General features: G+C 38.3%; 1 protein-coding gene across 10 annotated transcripts in view; it reads left to right on the top strand.

The window, feature by feature from the left end:
* The window catches only part of NALCN (sodium leak channel, non-selective), a 363,404-nt gene that overhangs the window by 133,401 nt on the left and 206,520 nt on the right, over positions 1 to 23,483 (top strand). The gene's annotated exons all lie outside the window — the stretch shown is intronic.

Genomic DNA, 23,483 nt, shown 5'->3' with positions numbered 1-23,483 from the left:
CCTAGCTTTTTTTTTTTTAACATACACAATAGGGATTTGATAAGTTTCTGATGGCTGCAGGCATGTAAGAGCATTTCAGTGGTATTGAATCAATGAAGAATTTTGTTGACATGTGAAATCTTATAAAAATATTCTTTACCGAAGGACTGAGTTATGTGGCAGTGGGCAAATTCATTGTTTCATACCTCCCCGAGTAACTGGGAAAAATATGTTAATACATAGTCTCTCTGTTTTTCTGCATTTGGAAGCTTTCAGAGGAACATAATGTAGAGGTGTTTCTTTAGCAAAGTGCACTGATAGCAAACATAAGGATTGCAGGTGGGGCCTGAGAGTCCTCATGAGATAGATTCTCACAGTGATTAGAAGATGGAGTCTCACGTCCCTGCCTGTGAACTTTCTGGAAAAACCATCTTCTCCAAGCTGCCATTGACAACAATATGGATAACAATAATAACAATAAGGCCCAATAAACTCCTTTATCTCTTCTTCAGGGGGCCATACTGACATCTTCTCTTCCTTGGTTTCCCCTCCTTGCCCCCTAAATATCAGTAACTCATTCAAAATAATGTCACCTTACCAAGAGCAGCACCCCTAACTTTCCATAATATTTTCACTTTCATTTTCCCTCCAAGCAGCCCACTCGTAGGACCGGAGAATTGATTCTTCCACCTGGAGAATTTTATTTTCTTTAGCCTTTTTGGTTTTCAGTGACAAATCCTCTTCTCGCAAGGGGTGGTTTCCATAGTTGTTTATATCCTGCCCTCATAATTTGGAGAAGTGTTCACATCTGCCGTGGGATGAGACTGTATCTCTTTTCTTTCTTTTGGGTCTTTCTCCAGATAGGGACTTCTTATGCAACTCAAGGATGGGTACATGAAAAATAAAATTGTACTCTGAGCCATTACTGTGGGCTATGTTTATATGGCCATTTTACCATAGAGTTATTTACTTCTTTTTGTTTCTATTTGTATTGAGGTGTGATTAACAAATAAAATTGTAAATACTTAAGGTATACAATGTGATGATTTGATATATGTACACAGTGTAAAACGATTGTTGCAACCAAGCTAATTAACACACCCATCACCGCATATATTCAGTAGTTACCTCTGTGTGTGTGGGGTGGGGGGTAACACTTAAGATCTAATCTCCTAGCAAATCTCATGTATACAATACAGTATTATTAACCATTAATGAATCACTTTGTTTATTAGATCCTGAGAACTTGGCCATCTTTTGACTGATAACTAATATCTCCCCATTTCTACCCCCTGTCCCCAGCCCCTGGTAACCACAATCCTACTCTCTGCTTCAATGAATTTGACTTTTTGAGATTCCATATATAAATGAGATTATGCGGTGTTTGTCTTTCTGTGTCTAGTTCATTTCACTTAGCATAACGTCCTCCAGGCTTATCCATATAGTTGTCAATGGCAGGATTTTTTTCTTTATTATGGCTGAGTAATATTTCATTGTATGTCTATACCACATTTTTTTTATCCATTCATCCATCAGTAGACACTTAGGTTGTTCCCTGTCTTGACCATTGTGAATAACGCTGCAGTAAACACGGGGCTGCAGATGTCTCTTTGAGATACTGATTTCATTTCCTTTGGGCATATATCCAGAAGTGGGATTGTGGGATCATATGGTAGTTCTATTTTTAATTTTTTGGGAAACCTCCATACTGCGTTTCAGAATGGCTCTACCAATTTAAATCCCCACCAACAGTGTAAAAGGGTTATCTTTTCTTTATGCCTTTGCCAAATAGTTATCTTTTGTCTTTTTGATGGTGACCATTGTAACAGATATGAGGTGATATCTCAATGTGGTTTAAATTTGTATTTCCCTGATAATTAGGGATCGTATGCACTTTTTCATATACCTATTGGCCATTCATATGTCTTCTTTGGAAAAAAATCTACTCAGAATTTGCTCATTTATAATCAGATTATTTGCATTTTGTGTTTGTTTTTGTTTTTTAGTTTGGGGGCTTTTTGTTATTGAGTTGTATGAGTTCTTTGCATCTTTTGAATATTATCTCCTTTTCAGAAATATGGTGTTCCAATTTTCCCCTGTTCCATAGACTGCCTTTTCATTTTGTTTATTGTTAGTTATTTATTTCTGTCAGTTTAAAAAAATGGAGGGCAATAAGTAGAAAAGCTTACAATGAATATTGATAAGTATTATTTTGTGGTCCTCCTTCCATCCTATATTTGATGTTGACTATGCTGCTAATATAAAACTACTACAACTACCTTTACTCCTACTATCACTACTAATAGTAATAACAATAATGACAAAGATTATAGTACTAGCTTCTTACCTAAAAAGCACTTTTATTGACATTATTTTTTAATCCATCAACTGATATTTACTGAGTACCAACTATGTGCTAGACACTAAGATAGTCTTGAAAGAAACATGCACAGTCTCCACACTCATAGAGCTTACAGTATGCTTGAGAGTGGGAGGGAAAAAGGCAGCATTGAGCTAGCAATCACAAGAGTGATGTGGGTTTTGAAAGAAGTAATGCAAGATGCAATGAGAATATATAAATTGGGGTCCGCTTTGAGAGGTCAGGGAAGGTTTTAGTGCATAATCTTAAAATCAAAACCTTGAGTAATTCCAGCATTTTGGGAGGCTGAGGCAGGCAGATCACCTGAGGTCATGAGTTTGAGACCAGCCTGGCCAACATGGTGAAACCCCATCTCTACTAAAAATCCAAATATTACCCAGGTGTTGTGGTGCACGCCTGTAATCCCAGCTACTTGGGAGGCTAAGGCACAAGAATCACTTGAACCCGGGAGGTGGAGGTTGCAGTGAGCTGAGATTGTGCCACTGCAATGTAGCCTGGGCAACAGAGTGAGACTCTGTCTCAAAAAAAAAAAAAAAAGAGAGAGAGAGAATGAGGAAAAGAATGACTAAGGATGAGGTTTACTACAACCCTGTGATGTAGAAAGACCTACATGCCTGGTCAGCCATTTATAGGAGAAAGTGCTGATTCAGAGAACATAGGGATGTGAATTACATTCAACCAGAGGGAGAACCCAGGACTAATGGCTGGGTCTTATGGCTCCTAGCCCCATGCTTTATCCAGCTGAAAAAAATATGCAAGTAATCATAAGTTCGTGATAGAGAAATAAACTATCAGGGCTACTCTGAGTGCCAAATCAGAGTCGTATGGTATCCAGAGCTTTAAAATCTATTAAATCCTTGTTAATAGATGCCTCAAGGTGGCCATCTGAAATTAGGAGGCAAGTCAGCCTCCTTATCACAAAGATTTGAGAATAACAAGGGATTAATGACAGGGTGAAGTGTGATGACAAAATCGAGCAAGGAGATAGTAAAATAAAGATTGGAATGGTGTGGGGATAGATGTTGGGCTTGAAGTGTATAGATGTGGCATCTCAGAGACCCCTATATGAGATATGTGTTATGAATATAGCAGCATGCTTATGACATCTTATGAATGTGACTCATATGCTTAGAAACTGGGGGGAAAGGGGTCAGGTAATTCAGTGTGACACAAGTTTCATTCCACTCAACTTCATGTGTTTGGCCCTGAATAAAGCTTTCCAGAGGCAGCAATGAAGAGTGCATGGAAGAAAAGTGGGATGGCCAAGAAGTTATCTGTTTGTACCGGGCAGGAGCTGTGATTAGAGAGAGAATACATTTCTATGTCTCAGCAAGAAAATAATTAATTAATTAAAAGAAAAGAATTAAGTAAAAATATATTGAAGATAAAATGGTCCTGAAATACTTGATGGCTTTCACTAATGATTAATGCCATCTAAAACTGGGTAACAGGAAAACTTTCATCTCAGTCTTCCACTCCCTGGCTTGGACTACCATGGTATCTTACCCTCAAGGCTGAACAGGAGCATATACCACTTCTTTTTATTTATTTATTTATTTATTTATTTATTTATTTATTTATTTTATTTATTTATTTATTTTTTGAGACGGAGTCTCGCTCTGTCGCCCAGGCTGGAGTGCAGTGGCGGGATCTCGGCTCACTGCAAGCTCCGCCTCCCGGGTTCACGCCATTCTCCTGCCTCAGCCTCCCAAGTAGCTGGGACTACAGGCGCCCGCCACTACGCCCGGCTAATTTTTTTGTATTTTTAGTAGAGACGGGGTTTCACCGTTTTAGCCGGGATGGTCTCGATCTCCTGACCTCGTGATCCGCCCGCCTCGGCCTCCCAAAGTGCTGGGATTACAGGCGTGAGCCACCGCGCCCGGCCCTTTTTATTTTTAAAACAAGCAAAATGTGAACATGTTCTCATAAAAAATTAATATGGAAATAAAATTAAAAGGAAGAGTTTACTTGAAATCTTCTTTCAATGTATCCTTCCTCATTCTTCTTCCAATGAGTAACTTGGAGGTTAATGTTGAGTCGATTCTTCTCAGACTCCTGCATTTATGCATTTTATCTCACATGAAAAAGCATTTCTGCCTCCAGGAAGCACTGACATTTTCACAGAATGTTTCCTCTTCCTACACCACTTCCTTCTCACTCATCCTTCAGAACTCAGCTCAAACATCACTTTCTTATCCTCAAAAAATAAGCCAGGTACCTCTGTTACATGTTTTCATATCATCCTACACTTTTCTTTTATGTCTGTCATAATTTTAATAAAATAAATTAAGGATATAATTAGTTGTTGATGTCTGCTTCTCCAACCAGGGGAAATTCCATTACTTTAGAGACCATACCAGTCATGGTCACTTCTGCAACTGTGCTTTAGACATGAGAGATGATCAATTATGTTTATTAACCGAGAACAGTCCAGTGAAAGAAGGAGGCAGTACCTTCTTGGCTTATGAAAGTACTTATTTGACCTCTCGCTTAGAAGCTGCTCTGTTTGTCCTCCTGGTCTTGTCTGTAAGAACTAGAAATTGAATAGACTGTGGCAATAACACCCTTTTCCATACAGAACACTTATTTCTATATGCATGTCGTTGGAGTCTAAAGCAAGCAGTACACTTGGAGTTTGCTTCCAGAAAGTGCCTCGCAGAGGTTGTAGGACTTTGGATATCTCTGGATAGTTTTGCCAGGATGTCTCCTCTAATATGTGGTGGCAGAGCCTTGGCAGGACATAACCCTGACTTCTGTTATGTTTCACCTCTTTCAGAACTCTTTTCATCTTGTAAGCATATAAGATAAATTTGTCTTATGTTTAGAAATATAGTGTTAGGAATAGCATCATTGAAAAGAACCCAAACTCATTCTTTTTTTTTTTTTTTTTTTTTTTTGAGACAGAGTCTCACTCTCCTGCCCAGGCTGGAATCCAGTGGCACAATCTTGGCTCATTGCAACCTCCGCCTCCCAGGTTCAAGTGATTCTCCTGCCTCAGCCTCCAGAGTAGCTGGGACTACAGGCATGCGCCACCACGCCTGGCTGATTTTTGTATTTTTAGTAGAAACCGGGTTTCACCATGTTGGTCAGGCTGGTCTTGAACTCCTGACCTCATGATCCGCCCACCTCGGCCTCCCAAAGTGCTGGGATTACAGGTGTGAGCCACTGTGCCCAGCTGAACCCAAACTAATTGTATGTTAATGAGAAAACAGAGTTTATTGGAATGAAACATTTGAACGGCTGTACTTTGTAATTTTGAAACTGTTGAAATAAATTAGAAAAAATGAGGTATCAATAATATCTGAGAGACAGCAAACTGATGTTTGAGTTCCCATTTAACTACTGGGAACTGTTGATTTTGTTCAAAGTGGGACTTTGTTTTTAAATTTGACCCAAAGTTTAAAAACCAGAGTATTTTACATAAAAACCCACACGTCCTACCCATCTTGTAAAAGAGAATGATCTGGCAATAAAGAGCTCTCATTTCCACCTGGCTAGAGTTGGCCAGAGCTGAGTGGTGGCTGCCACATGAGCAGAGGCAGAGAGGCTTTATTGTGCCTCAGTTTCCCAACTCTCCATATTGTCTCCACAGCACTGGAGGTGAGTGTTTTACCTACCCAAGAATTCATACATTTATTTTTCTAAGAGTAGAGAAAGATTTCTCTTTGTCCGTGACTCTATCGTGTGGAAATAAATAAACAAGTAATAAATTCATAAATATATAAATGTATAAAGATACACAAATGCATGGATGAATGAATAAAGAATAAATACAAGGCATTTTAAAAGCACCCTGTGATTACAGAAAACAATGAGAAATGAACCTAGTATTTTAAGAAAAAAGTTATTCCGATGTGTTAAATATGTAACCCTAAGCCTAGTTTTCTCATTATGTTACTTGCTAGGTCTCAGGAGGCACTTGGTTGGGTGACTCACGGAATAAATGAAAATAATGTAACTTTAGATCACAAAGATTATATAATAACAATTAGTCCACACATTTCAGTGATTCCAAAATAGTATTTTCATATATTTTATGTTTTTAACATTTTAAAATGTTAAAATCATAACTCAGCATAATTGGAAGCTGGCTCAAGTTCTCTTATAAATGAAATGTACTAAAAAATCAAAACTGTCTCCATTGGTATTATGTATTATACTTTTCACCATATTTTCTACTCTGTATCCTCATCCAGTTACTATAAGTAATTAGGTAATTTAATAAAACAAGATTGATTAAGGTGGCTTAATTTTCCTCACCATTATTAAATTAAATACATGAAGTAACCAATGCTTCTGTGATGCTGAGTTTTTTACGAGTAATAATTTATTCTCTCTTTCTCCCTCTCTCTCTATGTGTGTGTATATATACACAAACATATATATACACACGTTTTTATATATACATATATAAGTGCATATGTGTGTATATGTATATGTGTATATACATATATATAGAAACATTGCTGGCATAAAACTATTAGGATTTTATATATTTCAATGGGCAGTGATTCTGATCACACATTAGCAACTAATTTTAAATTGTTTTCCTACATTCCCACATGTGCACATACATATTTTACCTTATATCAAATATTTCCATTATTATGGTATTTGTTTCCTCTTTTCAAATATTGCTTATGGAGATAGTCAATGAATTAGGGCACATAAAAGATCTTCTTACTCTTCTACAGAAAAAATAGGCTCTATTGAGCCATTTGTGGAGGAGAATATAGGCATCTTTTGTCTGCAGTTTGAAACCACAAATTTATTTTGTGTTCTGAAACACAAATTACAATTACAATCATAGCTATAATTATAATTAGAATAGGAACCATATGCAGGCATGCAAGGAAACGATTCAATCTGGTGCCCTTGAAGTGATCTTTCTGTTTTTATAATAAATGAAAATGCACATACTTGTAAATTTAACTGCAAGACCACAAGTTTGGAGCAGGAGGACTAGCAGAAAGGTATTGTTAGCTTGGTAAGTTATATGTGGTGAGCTCTTTAACGCCACTTGTTAAAATTTTTTGTTAATCAACTTAATTATATTAATTTGTCTAGGACATTTCTCATGTTTATCCAGTTATTAATGAAATTTATACCATGCTTAATAAGGCTGAGTTTAATAAGATACTGAGCATGGTAAATGTGTGCAATTCCTAATAAATTTATCCTCACGTTAAAACGAGTAAGCGAATGTCCTAGAACCCCTGAAAAACCCCCTCCCATCCTCTGTCATGCCTGCAATGTCTTTCTGGCTCTTTCTCATCTCTGTGCATTGCTGATGTGCTTGTCACTTAGGGGCCCCTCGTGCCTGTTCCTTTTTTTTTTTTTTTTTTTTTTTTTTTTTTGAGAAGGAGTCTCGCTCTGTCATCAGGCTGGAGTGCATTGGTGCGATCTCGGCTCACTGCAACCTCTACCTCCCAGGTTCAAGCGATTCTCCTGCCTCAGCCTCCTGAGTAGCTGAGACTACAGGCGCCCGCCACCATGCCCAGCTAATTTTTTGTATTTTAGTAGAGACGGGGTTTCACCACGTTGGCCAGGATGATCTCGATCTTCTGACCTCGTGATCTGCCTGCCTTTTCCTGTTTTTGGTCCATACTGTGGGGACAAGATGACTCGTGGTGAAAAAGAAAAGCCTAGGAACATAGATAAGCCAAGCCCCATACCTGGTTTCTTTTCCTTTTTGTGCTACAACTGCCTAAATGCGCATCTCCCAACATGACCTCCTCACCTCTCCCTTCTTCCTCCCCAGCTACAGATCTCCTTATCTTCACCTGATGCATAGACACCCAACACAACATCTTGTTTTGAGACTACACGCTATTGTGGTCTGTTAGAGATAAGACTCTGGAAACATATTTCAGCTACACTACCTACCAGTGGTACGCGACAGGACACGTTTATGGAAAATGGGGATGAGAATGCAGTTTTCCTGGGTTTGAGAGAATTATTGAGTATTTATGACTTAGTAAAGAATTATTTGGAAGGAACAGACCATCTGCTCAAAGGGAACATTGATTGCAAGTGTCATTCGGCCTTTCTCTGCCTGTCTCTCACTCTCCGTTTGAGCCACATGATTTCTGTCTGTGAGCCTGCCTCTGTTTTCTCACCTTGAACACTGGCTTTATTCTGTTTTGTTTTGGTTTGTTTCTCTCCTTGCATATTACCCAAGTATGGCTGATTGTGACTGGGTGTAATGACCTCCCAATCAAAAGCCCTAACGAGACTCCCCAGAAAACACCCAAAGGTGAAGGTGCACTGGGAAAAAATGAAGTTGCGTGGGGGCATCAGAAACAGGAGGCGTGGCCGGGAGCAGCAGGTCAGGAGAGTGCAAATGGAAGGAAAGAGCAGGTCTGCTGAAGCCAAGTATTGGATTTCCCTGCAGAGCAAACCCAAAGTCGTTTGAAACCGCCCTTTTTAATCCTCTCTGAAAGCCTTGCCCCATCTCTGCTGGAACCACTACTCAACCACCCTCCTTAGCTTCATGGAATGGGAGGAGAGAGGACACAACTCTTTGGCCATACTAAGTGGTGAGACTTGACTGCAGTACTTACAACTCAGGGATCATTTTTCCTGTCAAACTTCTAAATCTTATAGGACTTGAGAAGTTTATTAAGAGCTAAAAAAATAGGCTATTACAGTCTCACCTGAAGCTCAAATCATGCTGTATAAGATAGTTTCTTTAGAGAAACACCACGTAGTTACTATAAACTTACAAATGGACAATTTGTAAATTGGTGCTATTTTACAACATAATATTAAGTCGATTTCCTTGCATTTAAAAAATACATATTCTGAAATAATTTAGAAACACAGATAAAAAATACCTATGTGTCTGTCAGAAATAATAATAGCTAATATTTATGGACCACTCACTGTGTGTTTTATTAGGTATTAAATTATTTAATGCTCACAGCACCATAAAGGTAGGTACTAATACGATCTGTTTTACAAAAGAGGAGGTTGAGGCACAGACAGCATAAGGAATTTGATGAAGGTCACATAGTTACTGAATGGGGATTTCATCTCAGGCAGTCCACGTTATACTTTTAACTACTTCATTTTCACCCCTGTGTATTACCCTACTGTGAAAATAACCCAGTTTCTTCATTCATTTATTCATTCCACTATCGATGGACATTGAGCTTGATTGTTTTGCTATTGCAGACCTTCTAAGACCTTTCTTATCCGTGCCTTTGTATGCACACGTGAGAGAGGTGTTCTAACATATATAGCTAGGACAGCAATTTCTGGGTTAAAGGATATGAGCACCTTTGACTCTCTGAGATATGGCAGATGGCTCTCCGGATGATAGGGCTATTTTGTATGCCTTCTAGAAACGTGTAAGGGTGCTCGTTGTCTACATCTTCATCTGCACTTGATGTTATCAGGCTTTTACACCAGATGACACGAAATGGTGTCCTGTAATGTAAATTTGCATCTCCCTGATCTCCCTGATTAATGGATGTTGAACATTTTTAGGTTCAAGGGCCACACATTTTCTTTTTTTTTTTTTTTTTTTTTTTGAGATGGAGTCTTGCTCTGTCGCCCAGGCTGGAGTGCGGTGGCGTGATCTTGGCTCACTGAAAGCTCCGCCTCCTGGGTTCACGCCATTCTCCTGCCCCAGCCTCCCGAGTTGCTGGGTCTACAGGTGCCTGCCACCACGCCCGGCTAATTTTTTGTATTTTTAGAAGAGACGGGGTTTCACTGTGTTAGCCAGGATGGTCTCGATCTCCTGACTGTAGATTGCTTGTTTATCTCATTTGCCCATTTATCTGTTGATTTTTCTAAGTGATGTTCAGGAATTCTGAGTGTTTCTAAAGGGTATATTGTTTCTTTCTAAATAAAAATTTAAGATATTAGATATAAAGACAAATCTAAAATATTAAATGCTTGACACATGTGCCTTTTTCATCTCTCCCATGTTTAGTCAATAAGGCAATTCTTTTATGTGGTATTAAAGAAACCGATTAGAAAGTTGCTTCGTTGTGTGCTTAAGTGTGAGTCTTAGAAAGGTGAAAAGTTATAATTGACTCTTTTAGCACCAAACCAAGCAGGTATATAGCTGTTTAAATACTATTTTAGCATAAGCCATAGCTGTGGGAAGGGTCACTCCAGTGCTTGATAAATAGAAGTCTATTCAATTGGACCCTCATTCCTCAGCGGCTGCTGTGACAAGCCGTTTTCCCGCTGCTGCTCAGGTAGGAGTTTTCATCTCTTGACACTTTGACAGATGTGGCTGCACACTTTTGAACCATCTTCCAACACACCCCCGTGCTCTATTACCATGAGGAAAGTCTCTGACAAGAGAATGAAAGTACATATGCATGAGACGTGGTACAATGGATGTCAGTTTCCCTCTGGTAGCATATTCCACCGCGTGCCTCCTGTGAGGAACAGAGGGAGGTAACAGGTGCTTGCTGAAAGTAGGTCAAACGGTGGCGAAATTATTCCTTCAGTGTTTTAATGCTCTTTGAAAACATTTCCATTGAAGGCTAAGATTGAGGGGAGGTGGCCTGTGTGATGTGAGCATTTCAAGTGACAAAGTGACATCCTAGGCACTCCTGAAACTGTCTTCTTCGTGAACCTTCCCACAAACTGGCAGATCATTTCAAGAATTGATGGAGCCCATGAGAATGTAGGTTCCCTCCAGAACGCAGCTCTCTCCCCAGCCCATTCCCACAAAGAAACTAGGTTTTCCCTGCATTTCCAGAAACCTCCAAACCAACCCATTATGCTTCTCCTTTTGTCCTCTCCAAATTCAATCTGATCCTTCTTCAATTCTGTCATTACTTCAGTATTTTGATATTTTTTGACTCATTCTCTCCACTCCATCTTCATATTCCTGCCCTCAAAATCAGGTCAGTGCTTCCTCAACAGAGTGATCTCTGATTCCTTGATTATATTTGGTCATTTTCTTTTTTGTTTCTCTTTCTTCTCTATTGCTTCATTCACGATAGGCATTTGCCAAAAATTTTCTGAATTATACGTGATTGTACATATCCAGCTGCGTTCACGTGCAGAAAACATAGCCTCACACACAGCAGACCCAAATTCTTACTCTCCCCTTAGGCAGGTGTCAAACGATACTTCCCCCAAATGCTCACGCATGCACGCAAACAGAGACACACAGTCAAAAACACAGCATGCATGTGTACACACACATACACACTCATACAGGCTCACACATGCATGCAGAGACACACAGTCAAAAACACAGCATGCATGTGTACACACACACACTCATACAGGCTCACACATGCTCACACGCACACACACCTCAAACACACACAGTGACACAGACACACACATGCACACTCGTGCACATACACATGCCTACACACTTATACATGCTCATGCACGCTCACACAACTCACATGTACATACACACACAGTGACACACAATCGCAGACACACACATGCACACAGGCACACACACATATCTACACGCACATGCTCATGCACACACACTTCACACGTACATACACACAGTGACACACAATCACACGCACACACATATGCACACATGCATATGGCTACACACACGTGCATGCTCACACACACCTCACAATGCACACTCACAAACGGTGACACACTGACACACACACACATGCATGCACACAGACATGCATACACACGCTTATACACACACACACCTCACGCATACTCAGTGACACAGTGACACACAGACATTTACATGCTTATGCACACATGCACACACACATGCACAAACACACTTGTACATAATCATGCATGCTCACACATACACACGCACATACCTCACACACACACATACACTCACACACAGGCGCACACACATTCATTTTCAATTTCTCAGGGGAATATAAAACAACTGCTTGGAGGAAAAGTTTGTAGGAAAAAGTGAATATAAAAATGGTTATGCAGTAATTACCTGGAATAAATATTAAAACCAGGAAAAATAAAATAGCTACATGTAGAAAGGGGTAGCTAAAATGCTACTTGAAAAAGGCCTATTGTAATTTTGAAGTCAGTGGCCAAATAAACTAAACAGAGAGGCCAATTGTATAAATCCTCAGTTCTAAATATCCCATATATATTTATTTAAATATATATTCAATATGTATCTAATATATCCTGATTATATTTCAAATAATAATTATATTTAGAATAGACACCAGATGACCAGGCATAGGATAATAAAAAATAAGATTAAAATATCAGTGTTATTTTTATTTATTTGTTTATCTGTCTTACTGGCAATTAAACAGTTTTGCTTCTTTGATTTTTAAACCTCACTGGAAGAAATATGCAGAACATTTTAAAATTATTTGCATGCCACATTATCTCAAACTAAATTCCTGTCTCCTATTATATTTTCATCCTCCAGTTTGAATCAGTCCTATAACTCTTGAATGTTTACAATTATATTAATTAGGAGACATGTGCTAACTTATGCCAAGCATTTTTAAAATGTCCATTGGAGACAAATTTCCATCACCAAAGATTTGTTGCATTGTCACCTTTGGCAAAAATGAAGGATGAGTTTTTCTGTTTGTTCGTTTGGTTTGGTTTTGCAAGTCTTGATCTCCAGGTTAAATACACAGCCTTCTTTAAGACTTAAACCCAGGGTTTGAAAGTGCTGTGTATTTTCTCAGTGTTCAACACAATCTGCAGTAGAAGGGTTTGGAGCAGCAATATGATGCCTTATGCACTCTAAAGCTGCTGACAGGTTTAGACATAATCTAAAATGTAAGTCACTTTGTGTATCAGGCAGTTCAGTCCTTCGCATTTGTTTTAATGTTTTTCCTAAATACTCTAAATATTTCAAAATGAGTCTTTCCTTAAAGATTCTACATAGCTCAAAATTATTTTATTTATGTATGCATTTATTAAATATCACAAGTGAGGTCCTGCATTGCATTAGAAATGCAGTGTATTAGAAAGGACAGCTAGCTTCAATTTTGAATTCATAATTTGTCTCTTGAGTTTAAAACAAAAGTTTTGTGTTCAACTGCCCACCGTTTAATACTAAAAATAAAAGATGAACATAAAAGTCAATTTGAAGTGATTCTAGATGTAGGAATTTAATTAGCTGTGGGAATGTCAATGACATCTCAAAACCATCATGGCGTCGTGTCACCTGTCTAGCAGCCCTATTGTAGTCCTTCCTGACTTCTCACTAACTTACCCATGAAGACAAAGATAAAGAAAAACTCACAACAATACAGGTAACTAAGAAAGCACCTTTTGTCAAAGTCTGTTGAGATTATTCAGTAACTATGTGGTTGGCGGAGTACTAGTGAGAAAAATATAAAACATCATGTATATTCAAATTGTTTAATCTAATGCGTCCATCCTTTTAGGAACTCAGTACTGAAGTCTAGGAACATCAGGCTAAAAAAAATAATGGTTGGATTTTTCTACTCTTTCTAGACACCAGGGAACATGAGAGAAAATTATTGTGGAAGGACTAATATTCTTATTTTTATTATTACCTATGTCCAGCCAAGTAAGCAAGGTCAACACTTCACCGTTGAAAAGCCAAGATTTTAGCATTTTCATTCTTAATTTTTACTCTAGTATTTCACTGACACTTGAGTGTATGTCAGAATCAGAGGGTCATGAAGAAGGGACAGCCCTGGTGACTGCCACAGGCTGAGACTTACTGCTGGAACATGTATAGTGAGGCCTCCTTTGTTGACCATCACCCTGGGTCTTCTTGTGCCCAAAGCAGAATGGTGTGGCTTCCTGGAATAGGAGATCATATTACTTGAAGCAACAAGATTGTATTGCTTGAACTCTAGTGTCCTAATTTGTTTTACTCACTTTGTATTAATACATGCCAAAGATAGGGAAGGGGATGAAAGGGTCTTGGGACCACCATCTAGGTTACAGCATCCCTCTTTTAGGAGTCCTTGCTAAGACACCTCAGGGGAAACTGCCTTTCTGAAGCCTGGCTCATGGTCCAGTTAACTATGTCAACAGTACCAACATTACTTTCATTTAATACAGGAGATAGAGAAATGTTTCACCCCCGAGGCTACTTTCCTCAGAAGGAGGCAGAAGATGCTCCATGGCCAATTGAGTACATGGAGGAAATTAAGTTATATCAAAAATTATTGTTGAATCTACTATGAATCCAGCCTTGCAGGAACTGAGTACTGAAGCTTAGGAACACCAGGCTAAAATATATATATATATATATATATATATATATGAGCTTTTTCTACTCTTTCTGGACACCAAGGAACATGAAAGAAAAGTGTTGCGGAATAACTAATATTTTTTATTTTTCTTACCCATGTCCAGCCAAGTAAGCAAAGTGAACACTTCATTGTTGAAAAGCCAAGATTTTAGCATGTTTATTCTTAATTTTTCTTCCAAGTCAATAATGAAGTCATGCAGGGGTATTGAGTTCTTAATCCATAAATTATAGGTTAGTTAATTGAAAGGTTTTTGTACATGTCATCATTTACTTTTCCTTTCTCCTACTAATCCATAAATGTAGGCCACAAAGTGTGAGGAAACCAGGAGATTTTAAGTAGTGTTCTATAAGATAGTTTAAATTGTGAATATCCATTATGGCATTGTACTCTAGGAAATACATGTTGTCCTAAATTGAAGCTTTCATAAAGAAAATTTCCCATGTTTTAAATCAATTCAAGACAGATGATTTTATTGGGCAGGATATAGGAAAAGTTCTGTTTTAAATATTTCTTACTTTAACTGATATATTTGTATCTCTGTAGTCTTAGTGGCAGTATCCCAATGCCCAGAAATGGCTTTTGTGTGCTCCTAGTGCTTAGTAAGGCATCATAGCTATGTGACTGCCATGGCATTATGATTGATAAGGAGTCTCTAAACAGCAGAAAAGGACTATATGTAATATATATGACCCAGACTAGAGTAACAAAGCTAAACACCTTAGAAAAGCCCAGAAAATAGTCTCCCCTTCCCACAAGGGTTATTATTTATGATCAATGTATGAGTTTTCAAATACCCTACAGCAGACTCAGAGATGCCATAAGAGCTGGGGGAGCTGGGTGGTGAACAATCAAGTTGAAGTCCAGGAGTCCTGACTGTTAGCATTTTCTGCTTTCCATAATGTAAATGCTCCCACCATGGCCAATTTCAAGTCACCAACATGACATCAGTAAACATGAAGGTGGAGAGAGATGTGATTGCAGCTCCAGCACACCACAGCTGGGGCAAGCTGCACTCCCACTGCAGTCAGAGATGGCATATACATACATACATGTCATACATGTCTATGTAAACACGTTGCAAAATTTTGTTTGCAGAAAGTGGAATTTTTGATGCCTCCATCCAAAGTACCTAGTTTCCAACATCACTGTAGAGGGAAAGAGAGAGGGAGACTTTCGAGAAGGCACACCCTTTCTCAAAGTGACACATCCAAAGTGATGCATCACTTCCATTTCTGTTCTGGTTGTGAGAACCAATCACATTGCTCCACTTCAGTAATAGTAAGCTGAGTGATGTAGATGAGCTATATGCCAGGAAGAGGAAACCAGCTTGGTAGGTATAATAGCTTTTGCTAAACCACAAGGCATCCTAAAACTTAATGGCCTGGACAGACACTAACTCTTGCTCATGAATTTGCGGATCAGTTGAACAGCCCTGCTAGTCTGAGCCAATCTCAGCTGACTACAGCTGAGCTCACCCCTGCCTCTGCGGTCAGCCACTCGTCAGCTGGCATCTCTGATTTTGGGTGTGGCTCGCCATTAATTGGAATGAAGAGAATGGCAGGGCCCATGGCCACCTGGCCACCATGCAACAGGCTAGGCTGCAGGGTTGATGTGGTCGCTCGGGGTTCCAAGAGCAGCAAGAGTAATTTCTAATACACAAGTATTTTCCAAGTCTCTGCTTACTTCACCTTTGCTACCATCTCACTGACCAAAATAAGTCACATGGCTGAGTCTGGAGTTGGTGTGGAGGATACTGCCAAGGATGTGTGGATACAGGGAGGTGAATTCAATTGGAGGCCACTGGGTTTTTTCACACAGGCTAAGAGGAATTTGAAAATCACTGGCTTGGCATCATAATCAATCCTGCTTAGAGGTGATTTCTTTCACACCAGCCATTACTGGTGCTTTTTCCTTCTTGTTAAAATCTAGTTTGTGTTGTAAAGTCAAGAGGAGCTGGTGATTGAAAAAAATAACATCCACATGTGTTTGTTGATTTGTGATTTCACATCTAACCTTACTCTTACAGAGTAGAGTGAAAGCTATACTCACATGGCCTAGAGATAAAGGGTCTGTCCAGGATTCCCTTACTCGGCTCTCCATTCCAATAAAGAGAGCCAGCCACTGATAGGGCGTGGCAGCTGGCAGGGTGTCCACTGAAATCATAGGCTCTTGGTACCTTTGTGGAGATGGACATGTGGATTCCCTTCTGTCCTGACTCTCTAAGGACGCATCAGGAACAGACAGATGGGAAAGGCAGTCTCTAAGGATATCCACTGGTTATGTTTTCAGTGTTGATATAAGTGTTACCTTTTTCATATAAATTCTTTGTATTGGACAGAATAATTGTGTACATTGATAGTAGAAGTAATGAATATCCAGATGTCTTCTAAATAAGGGAAGCAAAAGATGTCCCACTTGCAAATGGGAGATTTATTTTAGGTTTTATGCATTTGGTCTTTTACATTGTGTCCTTGTTCTTATGTTCATGGCTCATATGCAAGATGGTTTCTGAGAATTTCATCATGTAATTGCATTGTTCTCCAAATAAGTTTATTTCAAAATCCAATTAAAACACAAGTTTTAGTACATGGCTGATGCAGTATTCAGTGGAGGAGACTTTGTTTTACTAAGTTGAGTTGTTTTACTCACTCAAGCAGCAATTTAAAGACAGATTTCATTTCTGAGCTGTACTATTCATTATCCTAATTTATATTTATTGCAACCTCTGAGACCACTATTTTGTCTCTTTGCCTACAGTCTTCAGAATCTTTAAGTTACTGTTTCATAGGAAAAATTATTGGAGAAATTTAATAGAAAGAGCTTTTATGAAGTACTTAAGCATTTATACCACAAAAAAAGATAAGATAGCTTTAGATCATTTTGAAAGTTTATAAATGTTCACGGTCCATTTCAAGATTACTAATCTCTTCCACCTGATTTCTTATGTTACACCTTCAGGCCTTCCCTGTAAGCAACTGACTGCATCTCTACTTTCAAATCCTTAGAGTGCTTTCCAAGACTGAAATAATGAGAGTTACAGAGCACACGGTGTCCACTGCAGGCTAGACTCTACACTGAAGTCTCATTTATTTTCGTTTTACAGCCAAAAGATGTAGATGTCATCATACTCATTTCCTCTGTGAGAAAACTGAGTCACAGAAAGGTGAAATCCAGCACAGAGACAAGATTTAAACTCAGTTCATCCTGTCTTCAAAATTGATATTCCATTAAACCATGGCAATCTTAAATCTTTCTGTGAAAAACAGATTGTCTTCAGCTTTCAGATTTAGGGTTCATGTACTTATACCTTCTATCCAACCACAAATACTTGGTGAGGAAGCTGCTGTCACTCTTTTTTAATATATAGAGCAATGTTGACTGATGAATTTTGACTGTCTGATACAAGGCAAGAGACTACCTGGTTTGGGCTCACAATGTCTAAGATGTTTCTATCTCTGTGGGCCTAGAAATCTACTTAGACTTTCTGAGCCTGTTTCTCCATATGTAAAAGGGGATGCAAAAGTATCTACCTCACAGAGTTGTTGAGGATTAAAGATGTTATTACATGAGCAAGCAACATCTTTGGAATGAATCTTGGCACAAACCAAGCACTCCAGAAAACAGTAGCTCTTATTTCAATAATCCATCCTGTTGGTGTCCATTTTAATTGCGTGAGAAGCCCTCCCCGTGTTTGGCTTAGACTTCCACAGTCTCCTGGGAGGTTTGCTTTCATGGCAGGACTCAGAATCAATGCGGGAAAAAGTGACCTTTCTTGTTGTTCTGCTTGAGGTTGGACTCAGTCCCATTGTTCCAGACTCATTGTCTCATTACACTTTTGGACACAAAGCAAGATGAAAGCGTTGGTTGCTGTTATGAGTTTTATATCTGTAGTTGTCAAAGTTACAGAGACCCCACGTTGGCAAGTCACCTTGTGTGGAACCCTATGGTCAGGTACCATTTTGTAGCCCTGGGCACTTTTATACAATCATGTTTCATAGAAGGTGATTTGAGCTGGTATACAAGACAGTTTGAGCTGGTGTCTGTCAAAATCGTTGACAATGCTGTGTTAGTTTCCTGTTGCTGCTGTAACAAATAACCACAAATTCAGTGACTTAAAACCACACACATGTATTCTCTTAGAACTCTGCAGTTAGAAGTCCAAAATGGACTTCCTTAGGCTAAACACAAGGTATCAACAAGGCTGCATTGCTTTGGGAGACTCTGGAGAAGAAATGGCTTCCTTGCTTTTTTCACATCCTGGAGGCCACCTGCATTTGCATTTCTTAACTTTATGAGAGTCTGTAATGATGTCTTTATAATGCCTCCAAATGGTTGCAAAACTAACACATGCTTTTGTTTTTATGAAGCCAAACAGATTTAGTTGATTTTTGACCATGGAGTTGGGGTATGGGGACAAGGTTGGCAGCCATTTTTATGTTAGTGTAGTCCAACATATTACATTCCAGCCAGCATCTGTGGTATTCTATTCTAGTCATTATAGACTTTTAGAATCATGAAACTGTGAAGTTGCAAATAATCTTATAGGTCACCCAGTGCAGCCTGCTATTAAGGAGTATCCCCTACAACAGTGCTTCTCAAAATTCAACATGCTCACGAATCACCTGGGAACCGTGTTAAAGATACAGATTCTGATTCAGTAGGCCTGGGATGGGGCCTGAGATCCTGCATTCTTAATAATTGCTTCCAGGTTGCTGCTGGTCCAGGGACCACACTTTGAGTAACAATGCTCATTCCTGACAGATAATGCTGCCTTGGGGATTAATCTAGTATAGACTCTTTGTATTTTGAAAATTCCAGCTGTCATATACACAGATAAGTAATTTTTGGATCAAAGCCAAACTAAAAACATATCCAAAACTCCTCTGCTTTTAAAAAATGTAAACCAAAATGACATTGCAATTAAAGGAAACTTTAAAAAATCAAATGTGTATGTGGAGTCTGAAGGACCTTATATTAAAATATATAAATAAAAAAGAATATGCACACACATATGTGAATCCACATATGTATGTACTCACATACACATATACTAGAGATGTATGTGTTCATCTGTCTACATAGATAGGTAGAGGGATAGATCATGCATCCATATTAAATAATGCAATTGTGAAGACCTCAAGTCATATAATATTTTGTGGTACTGACTCAGCTTTAACATTTTCCTTTATATTAATTTTTATTAGAAAATAAAAAATTGAAAAGTATAAATTTGGACTTTCCTGTAGATACAAGGATGAATCTAAATGTAATGTCATCAGCCTTTTTACATTAAAGAAACTGATAGCCAGTTTCAAGCACTGGCTGAAGTGAATTGAGTTGAAGTGGGCCATGCCACTAGCTCTAACTTTAAAGCTGGAGTTACTGATTTTAATATTTAAATGTAGGTACTGCACATATTTATCACCTTAATTCTTATTTAATATTTGAAAGTTACTGCTTTGGAGAAAGTCAGCTAAGCAATGGTGATTATAGTGTATCAAAATCCATTGTAAGTGATTATTTTAATAACTCTGAACCAACAGGGACATGTAGACATTCAGACAAAAAACAACCTAATTATAATGACAGCACCAAAGTGAAGCTGTGACAGTTACAAAACCAATTTAAAAGTTTCCTGACAGCCATGGCTAAAAGCTTTGTTTGGATCTTTCAGTAATAACAGTTTACTTAAGACATAAATCCACAGCTAAGGAAAATAGAAAAAGAAAGTTGTGGCTTTTCTGCCATGCAGATGAAATGGAAATCAGCAGAAATATTTCTAATAGAACATTATGCTGAAAGGAGTATAGAAAAGGAATAATAGTAATGGAATTTAACTCTCACAATGCAAGAAAGACTAAATAACAATAAAAATTTTAATGAGCATAGAAATGTGCCAGATGATTTGCCTATCTGTGTTATGAAGGTCAGTCATTTCTGCAAGTAAATTGATGTGCATATAAACATGTTGATTGGCAGCTCTGGAATTTGATTTTTGTATTACCTGTAAAATAAAGTCAAAGGGAAACGGATATGCATCAATAGCCACGGTGACAGGAAGCCTTAATAAAAGTCTACTTTCCCGATGTCACTGGCATGTCTCAAATTATTAGATCCTTATCAATGTTACTTACCTCACTAGACTATGGGCTGAGTCTGATATGCAACATAATTAATTCTTCAACCTCGGGTAATTAATTTCTCATTCCCGAACAGAAAAATGCTTGATTCACAAAATTGCATTCCTTTTTTCTGTAAACCTTTGTAGAATATTTGTAAGTGTAATCACTGTTCTAAGCCCTTTACATATATTGACTCATTTAAAATTAATAACAAGTCTTTGGAGTAGGTACTATTTTCTCCACTTTATCAATGAGAAAACAGAGGTTTAAGTAACTCCCCTGGGGCCACAGTGCCAGTAAGTGGTGGAGTTACGGCTCCAGGCAGTTTGGCCCAGAGCACCTGATGTAGGATAAGGAAGACCCCATGAAACACATACATAGAGTCATGGAGACATTGGCAGTGCTCAGAAGAGGCAGTTCTTGTTCTCTTACCCCATTTTAGTAATAACAGTTTGCTTAAGACATAAATCCACAGCTAAGGAAAATAGCTCTTTGAGCTGCAAGGACTAAAGGATTCTCAGGTCAGACCAGACAGTAAGGGCATGTGTTAATAAATACCCAGAAGAAATGAAACCTCAGAAAGAGGATGTGTGGTGGCGCTAGTCCCTGGGCAGATGTGGCTCAGTGGTGTGTTGTTTGTGCTCAGTTCCTTTCCATAGGTCTGCTTCTCTCTCCTCTTTCTGCTGCCCAGGGCCTTCAGCCTCCACTCTCTCCATTTAAGTATTCTCTACCCCACAGTGGGCAGCGGGCCCCAGAATGGACTTTAAATAGACTAGGGTAAAATGACTTAGTCTCTCTGAACTGTGTGAAATGTGAGTAATATATCTCACCATATAGAGCTATGGTGGATATTAAAGTAGATAAAACAAATAACATTTGAATAATGTGGATTATGACCAAGTCGGATTTATCCCTGGGATACAAGGATGATTCAACATATGCAAATAAATGAATGTGATACATCCTATCAACAGAATGAAGGATAAAAGCTATATGATCATTTCAATTCATGCTAAAAAAGCATTTGGCAAAATTCAACATCTCTTCATGGTAAAACCCCTCAGCAAAACTGGGGATAGAAGGAACATACATCAACATAATAAAAGCTATATATGACAGACCCACAGCTAGTATCATACTGAATGGGGAAAATCTGAAAAGCCTTTCCTCTAATACCTGCAACATGACAAGGATGCCCACTATCACCTCTGTTATTCAACATAGTACTGGAAGTCCCAGCTAGAAAAATAGGACAAGAGAAAGATTAAAGGGCATCCAAATTGGAACGGAAGAAGTCAAATTATCCTTGTTTGCAGATGATATGATCTTATATTTGGAAAAACCTAAAGACTCCACAAGGAAACTATAAGAACTGATGAACAAACCTAGTAATGTTGCAGGATACAAAATCAACATACAAAAATTAGTAGCATTTCTATAAGCCAACAGCAAACAGTGTGAAAAAGAAATCAAGAAAGTAATCCCATTTACGGTAGCTACAAATAAAATAAAATTCCTTGCAATTAACCAAAAAATTGAAGGATCTCCATAATGAACACTATCAAACAGTGATGAAAGAAATCGAAGAGGACACCAAAAATGGAAAAATATTCCATATTCATGGATTGGAAGAATCAATATTGTTAAAATGTTCATACTACCCAAAGCAGTCTACAGATGCAATTGAATCCTTATCAAAATACCAATGATATTCTTCACAGAAATAGAAAAAAATTCTAAAATTATATGAAACCACAGAAGAGCCAAATCTATCCTAAACAAATTGAACAAAGCTGGGGGAATCACATTACCTGACTTCAATTTATAATTCAAAGCTACAGTAATCAAAACGCCGTGGTACTGCCATAAAAACAGACACATAGACCAACGAAACAGAATAGAGAACCCAGAAGGAAATCCACACACCTACAGTGAACTCATTTTTAACAAAGGTGCCAAGAACATACACTGGGGAAAAGAGAGTTCCTTCAATAAATGGTCCTGGACATCCATATGCAGAAGAATGAAACTAACCCCTATCTCTGTAAGGTACAAAAATCACATCAAAATGGATTAAAGACTTAAAGCTATGACCTCAAACTATGAAATTACTACAAGAAAACACTGGGGAAAATCTCCAGGACATTGGACTGGGCAAAGATTTTATGAGCAATACCCCCATAAGCACCGGCAACCAAAGCAAAAATGGACAAATGGGATTACATCAAGTTACAAAGCTTCTGCACAGCAAAAGATACAATTAACAAAGTGAAGAGACAACACACAGAATTAGAGAAAATATTTGCAAACTACCCCTCTGACAAAGGATTAATAACCAGAATATATAAGGACCTGAAACAACTCTATAGGAAAAATCTAATAATCTGATCAAAAAATGGGCAAAAGATTTGAATAGACATTTCTCAAAAGAAGACATACAAATGACACAAACAGGCATATGAAAAGGTGTTCAACATCATTGATCATCAGAGAAATGCAAATGAAAACTACAATGAGACATCATATCACCCCAGTTAAAATGGTTTATATTCAAAAGTCAGGCAATAATAAATGCTGGTGAGGATGCGAAGAAAAGGGAACCCTTCTACACTGTTGGTGGGAAGGTAAATTAGTACAATCACTATGGAGAACAGTTTGAACATTCCTCAAAAAACTAAAAATTGAGCTGCTGTAATTTAGCAATCCCACTGCTGGGCATATACCCAAAAGAAAGGAAATAAGTATATCTAAGAGAAATCTTCACTCCCATGTTTGCTGCAGCACTGTTTGCAATAAGATTTGGAA

This window comes from Homo sapiens, chromosome 13 (genome assembly GCF_000001405.40).
Source record: "Homo sapiens chromosome 13, GRCh38.p14 Primary Assembly".
Taxonomy (NCBI): domain Eukaryota; kingdom Metazoa; phylum Chordata; class Mammalia; order Primates; family Hominidae; genus Homo; species Homo sapiens.
Note: the sequence above shows the minus strand (reverse complement) of the source record. Positions and strands in the feature narration are given on the sequence as shown.